General features: G+C 52.8%; 1 protein-coding gene across 1 annotated transcript, besides 5 other annotated features; it reads left to right on the forward strand.

The window, feature by feature from the left end:
* Positions 668-857: a silencer, noted in NCBI's record as "silent region_18414". NCBI's record gives its function as "represses an Ori minimal core promoter by ATAC-STARR-seq in GM12878 lymphoblastoid cells {active_cell/tissue: GM12878}" and the evidence as "EXISTENCE:reporter gene assay evidence [ECO:0000049][PMID:35858748]".
* On the forward strand, positions 808-4,026 carry COPS6 (COP9 signalosome subunit 6). Its single transcript, NM_006833.5, has 10 exons — positions 808-905; positions 1,129-1,254; positions 1,454-1,585; positions 2,238-2,326; positions 2,431-2,493; positions 2,741-2,788; positions 2,877-2,991; positions 3,077-3,169; positions 3,259-3,359; positions 3,488-4,026. Exons 1-10 carry the CDS (start codon positions 830-832, stop codon positions 3,626-3,628), a joined length of 984 nt encoding a protein of 327 aa, NP_006824.2. The 5' UTR covers positions 808-829; the 3' UTR covers positions 3,629-4,026.
* Positions 1,008-1,699: an enhancer, noted in NCBI's record as "H3K27ac hESC enhancer chr7:99686792-99687483 (GRCh37/hg19 assembly coordinates)". NCBI's record gives its function as "activates a minimal SCP1, AML or CMV promoter by ChIP-STARR-seq in naive H9 embryonic stem cells {active_cell/tissue: H9 hESC(naive)}" and the evidence as "EXISTENCE:reporter gene assay evidence [ECO:0000049][PMID:30033119]".
* Positions 1,008-2,405: a biological region, named in NCBI's record as "CDK7 strongly-dependent group 2 enhancer GRCh37_chr7:99686990-99688189".
* Positions 1,206-2,405: an enhancer, noted in NCBI's record as "CDK7 strongly-dependent group 2 enhancer chr7:99686990-99688189 (GRCh37/hg19 assembly coordinates)". NCBI's record gives its function as "activates an origin of replication core promoter dependent on BRD2, BRD4, P300/CBP, MED14 and CDK7 cofactors, with strong dependence on CDK7, by STARR-seq in HCT116 cells {active_cell/tissue: HCT116}" and the evidence as "EXISTENCE:reporter gene assay evidence [ECO:0000049][PMID:35650434]".
* Positions 3,265-3,559: an enhancer, noted in NCBI's record as "tiled region #1952; K562 Activating non-DNase unmatched - State 25:Art". NCBI's record gives its function as "activates a minimal TATA promoter and a strong SV40 promoter by Sharpr-MPRA in K562 cells {active_cell/tissue: K562}" and the evidence as "EXISTENCE:reporter gene assay evidence [ECO:0000049][PMID:27701403]".

Below are 4,566 nucleotides of genomic sequence, written 5' to 3' on the forward strand. Positions count from 1 at the left end.
AGAAGGAACCACAGGCTTTTGAATGGGAAACTAAAGCATGTGAAAAACACACGGAGAGCTGGGTGCGGTGGCTCATGCCTGTAATCCCAGTGCTTTGGGAGGCTGAGGATGGAGGATCTCTTCTGCCCGGGAGTTGGAGACCAGCCTGGACAACCTAGTGAGACCCCCGTCTCTATCAAAATAAAAACAAATAATAAAATTAGCTGGGTGCGGTGGGGTGCGCCTGTAGTCCCAGCTACTCGGGAGGCTGAACTGGGAGGATCACTTGAGCCCAGGAGTTTGAGGGTGCAGTGAGCTGACATCAGGCCACTGCACTCCAGCCTGGGCGACAGAGCGAGACCCTGTCTCAAACAAAACAAAACAAACCACCACCACCACCAGACATGAGGGCCAGTGCAGCTGAAGCCTGAAGATCAAGGGCTAGAAGAGGCCAGGCCGGGGCCAGATCAGGCAGGGCCTTGCAGGTTGTGGTTAGTTGTTTGGATTTTATTGTGAGGGAAATAACACGACATGTCATTCCTTCTGCAACAGCCTTAAGAACTAGGCGTTCTTATCCCAATTTCACAGACGAGGACGATCAAGTCGTTAATTTGTCAAAGGTCACCCGCAGGCGACAGGCGGGGACAGGGTCTGGGAAAACCCGCTAGGCACCGAGGCCCAGAGGGCGTCGGGCGTCCCCGCACCGAGTGCCGCCCGCCGCGACCCGGGAACTGCCTGCTCCCCGGACGCCAGGCCCGCCGCACGCCGCGGGGACACCGAACATGCGCCGCTCGCCTTACGGAAGCCGGGAAGGAAGGGGGCGGGGCCGAGGCTGGCGGGCGCGGGGAAAATGGCGGCGGCGGCGGCGGCGGCTGCAGCTACGAACGGGACCGGAGGAAGCAGCGGGATGGAGGTGGATGCAGCAGGTAACGGGCCGTGCGGGGGTGGCTTCCGGAGACCTCCTTCAGGGGTTCGTTGAGGCCTCCCTGTGCTCCCGGGAGAAGGGAGGAGGGCGGAGCAGCAACATCTTTCCCTGGGATAAGTTACGGGAGGAAAGTGTGGCCCGGGCTCCGCCGTCCCCCACTGCCATCTCCAGGGAAGAACGTGGGGCCCGGACTCTCACCCTCTCTCCTTTCCCTCCACCCTTAGTAGTCCCCAGCGTGATGGCCTGCGGAGTGACTGGGAGTGTTTCCGTCGCTCTCCATCCCCTTGTCATTCTCAACATCTCAGACCACTGGATCCGCATGCGCTCCCAGGAGGGGCGGCCTGTGCAGGGTGAGTGTTGGGCATAGACTCCAGTCTCTTCTCCTTGCTCACCTCCCCCAGGCAGTGGTCTTTTCCCCTTCCTCTACTGGAGCCAATTCCCCCTCCCCCAAATCATCGTTTCCCCAATACATGGTTCCCACTGATCTCAGACCCTCAGGTCATAGAAGTTTCTTTACCCTCACCTTTTCCATGTCATTCTCTTTCCCAGTGATTGGGGCTCTGATTGGCAAGCAGGAGGGCCGAAATATCGAGGTGATGAACTCCTTTGAGCTGCTGTCCCACACCGTGGAAGAGAAGATTATCATTGACAAGGAATATTATTACACCAAGGAGGAGCAGTGTGAGAGTGGAATAGATGTGGGGAAGAGGAGTGGGAGTTAAAAAAAAAATGTACAGGGTGGGGAAGATGGAGAGGGTTGGAAAGAAACAGGAGAGGAGACCAAGAACAGGGGAGAAAAAGTGAAGAGTAGCTGGAGAGATCTCAGAAAAAGAAAACGTTCAGAGTTCTTTCTCAAAAGAAAGCAAAGGATGAGAGGAGACAGGATAGAAGGGAGTAGTTATTCTAAACTGAGCCAGGATTTGAGGAGGGAGGAGAGAAGCTGGTGAAAATACACCAGGAGCTTCACATTGAGGAAGGATGGTTTAAAGAATTACTATGTCAGGCCGGGCTCAGTGACTCATGCCTCTAATCCCAGCACTTTGGGAGGCCGAGGTGGGTGGATCATGAGGTCAGGAGTTCAAGACCAGCCTGGCAAACATAGTGAAACCCCACCTCTACTAAAAATACAAAAATTAGTCTGGCATGGTGGTGCGTGCCTGTAGTCCCAGCTACGCGGGATGCTGAGGCAGGAGAATTGCTTGAACCTGGGAGGCGGAGGTTGTGGTGAGCTGAGATCATGCCACTGCACTCCAGCCTGGGCAACAGAGCGAGATTCCGTCTCAGAAAAAAAAAAAAAAAGAATTACTATATGTTCTGGCCCCTTCCCCTCTAGTTAAACAGGTGTTCAAGGAGCTGGAGTTTCTGGGTTGGTATACCACAGGGGGGCCACCTGACCCCTCGGACATCCACGTCCATAAGCAGGTATGCATGCTCACACCTGTGCATGCTGGGGCAGAGAATGGAGAATGAGGGGAAGGAGAAAGGTAGGGGGCACTGACTTCCTGTGCATTGTCCCTCTCTTCCAGGTGTGTGAGATCATCGAGAGCCCCCTCTTTCTGAAGTTGAACCCTATGACCAAGCACACAGATGTGAGTAATACTCCATGCCTACTCTGTCATGATTGTCGCTATACCTTTTACTGTGTGACACTCCTCTATTGGGGAATGCCAGATGCCACTTACCAGCTGTGACTCTGGCTTAGTCATTTAATCTCCAAACTGTGAAAGGAGGTAATCCCTACTTCATTGGTTTCTTGGGAAGATGAGAGGAAATGTGTAAAAGCAGCTAGCCCAAATGTTGGCATATAGTGTTCAGGTTTCTCCGTCTCCTTCACAGCTTCCTGTCAGCGTTTTTGAGTCTGTCATTGATATAATCAATGGAGAGGTAATACCCTACCCTTCAACCCTCAGATCCTGCTCTTGGCCTCTTTCCTGCTTTTGATTCTCCCTTTGTGGGTTACCTTGCCCTGTAGGCCACAATGCTGTTTGCTGAGCTGACCTACACTCTGGCCACAGAGGAAGCGGAACGCATTGGTGTAGACCACGTAGCCCGAATGACAGCAACAGGCAGTGGAGAGAACTCCACTGGTAATGGAGGGGATTCCTTGGAAGTGGGGTTGGAAGGTGTGGCCACATCCCGTCTCAACCTCCTCCTGTCCTCATCCCCTTGCAGTGGCTGAACACCTGATAGCACAGCACAGCGCCATCAAGATGCTGCACAGCCGCGTCAAGCTCATCTTGGAGTACGTCAAGGCCTCTGAAGCGGGTAGGACAGGGGCTTCCCTGGCATTCTTCCTCTCCCTCCTGGGGAAGTGACAGCATCCAAACTAATGTAGTCTCTTTTTGTGCCTTTAGGAGAGGTCCCCTTTAATCATGAGATCCTGCGGGAGGCCTATGCTCTGTGTCACTGTCTCCCGGTGCTCAGCACAGACAAGTTCAAGACAGATTTTTATGATGTGAGTGTAAAACCCGGATGGGGAGGCGGGGCTTATGCTGTCACTTTCACGTGCAGGACTGGGGACTGTTGTTCCCCGGGCATGCCACGAGGGATCCCGAGGAACTGGTCCTTTCTGTTCCCTCCCAGCAATGCAACGACGTGGGGCTCATGGCCTACCTCGGCACCATCACCAAAACGTGCAACACCATGAACCAGTTTGTGAACAAGTTCAATGTCCTCTACGACCGACAAGGCATCGGCAGGAGAATGCGCGGGCTCTTTTTCTGATGAGGGTACTTGAAGGGCTGATGGACAGGGGTCAGGCAACTATCCCAAAGGGGAGGGCACTACACTTCCTTGAGAGAAACCGCTGTCATTAATAAAAGGGGAGCAGCCCCTGAGCACCCCTGCTGGTGGCTCTGTCCTCTGTTAGGCACCACACTGGTTGGTCAACTTGGATGTTCATCGAGGCTCATTCTGGCCTTGCTCAGAAGCCCTTCTGATGCTCTTCAGTGAGGGAGGCACTACCATTTGAAGTGACCCCATGTCAGTCACATGGACTGGTCTTTAGCAAAGTCCAAGGCTGCCTGCTTCCACCTAAGTGGTCTCTGTTCTACACTTTAATGTCACCCTCTACATCATCTTACCTAGCCCACCCAACCTTATAAACATGATAATTGACTACTTTCCTGAGCTAAATTAACTTGTTTTTCACATACGCAAAAAAGAAGGGATAGTAAGCAGATTTTTATTAGAAAGAAGTCCAAGCCTTGATCCTGTGGGCACTGTGAATTACCAGGAGGGAGAGTTTCTCAATGACCGTTTACTACATATTTTGGAGAGGCAGCTAGGAAGTGGTCTAAAGGTTGGGATTGCTGTATGTGATCACTTGTGCTGATTTTCATCACCCGCTAACCAGAGCTTTAGAGTGGGAGTTGGGAACTAAGTAATGACCTGTCTGCTAGAAAAGGGGAAAAACCAAGAGACCCTGCATTTCATACTGGCGCCATATCCCCAGAGCCTGACTTGCACACAGGCAGTATAAGACCAAATAAGGGAGTCGGGGGGCTCAAAAAGTGGAGCCCCATCTTAAGTATCTCCAAACAGCAGGGACCGCTTAGTCCTTGCCGCATCCCCAGTGTCTATACTGGGGGCCTGGCAGGGAGATGCACTTTACTCAGGTAATTTACTGAGTGGATGAAATAGCATAAAAACGAACAGGAATC

The sequence above is a fragment of the Homo sapiens genome, chromosome 7, assembly GCF_000001405.40.
Source record: "Homo sapiens chromosome 7, GRCh38.p14 Primary Assembly".
NCBI classification, from domain to species: domain Eukaryota; kingdom Metazoa; phylum Chordata; class Mammalia; order Primates; family Hominidae; genus Homo; species Homo sapiens.

Excerpts from the sequence above, each read along its gene's own strand:
- COPS6 (NM_006833.5), top strand. The coding sequence starts at position 830 with ATGGCGGCGGCGGCGGCGGCGGCTGCAGCTACGAACGGGACCGGAGGA. Across the intron at positions 906-1,128 it reads GATGGAGGTGGATGCAGCAG|TAGTCCCCAGCGTGATGGCC; the intron begins GTAACGGGCCGT and ends CTCCACCCTTAG. Across the intron at positions 2,789-2,876 it reads TTGATATAATCAATGGAGAG|GCCACAATGCTGTTTGCTGA; the intron begins GTAATACCCTAC and ends CTTGCCCTGTAG.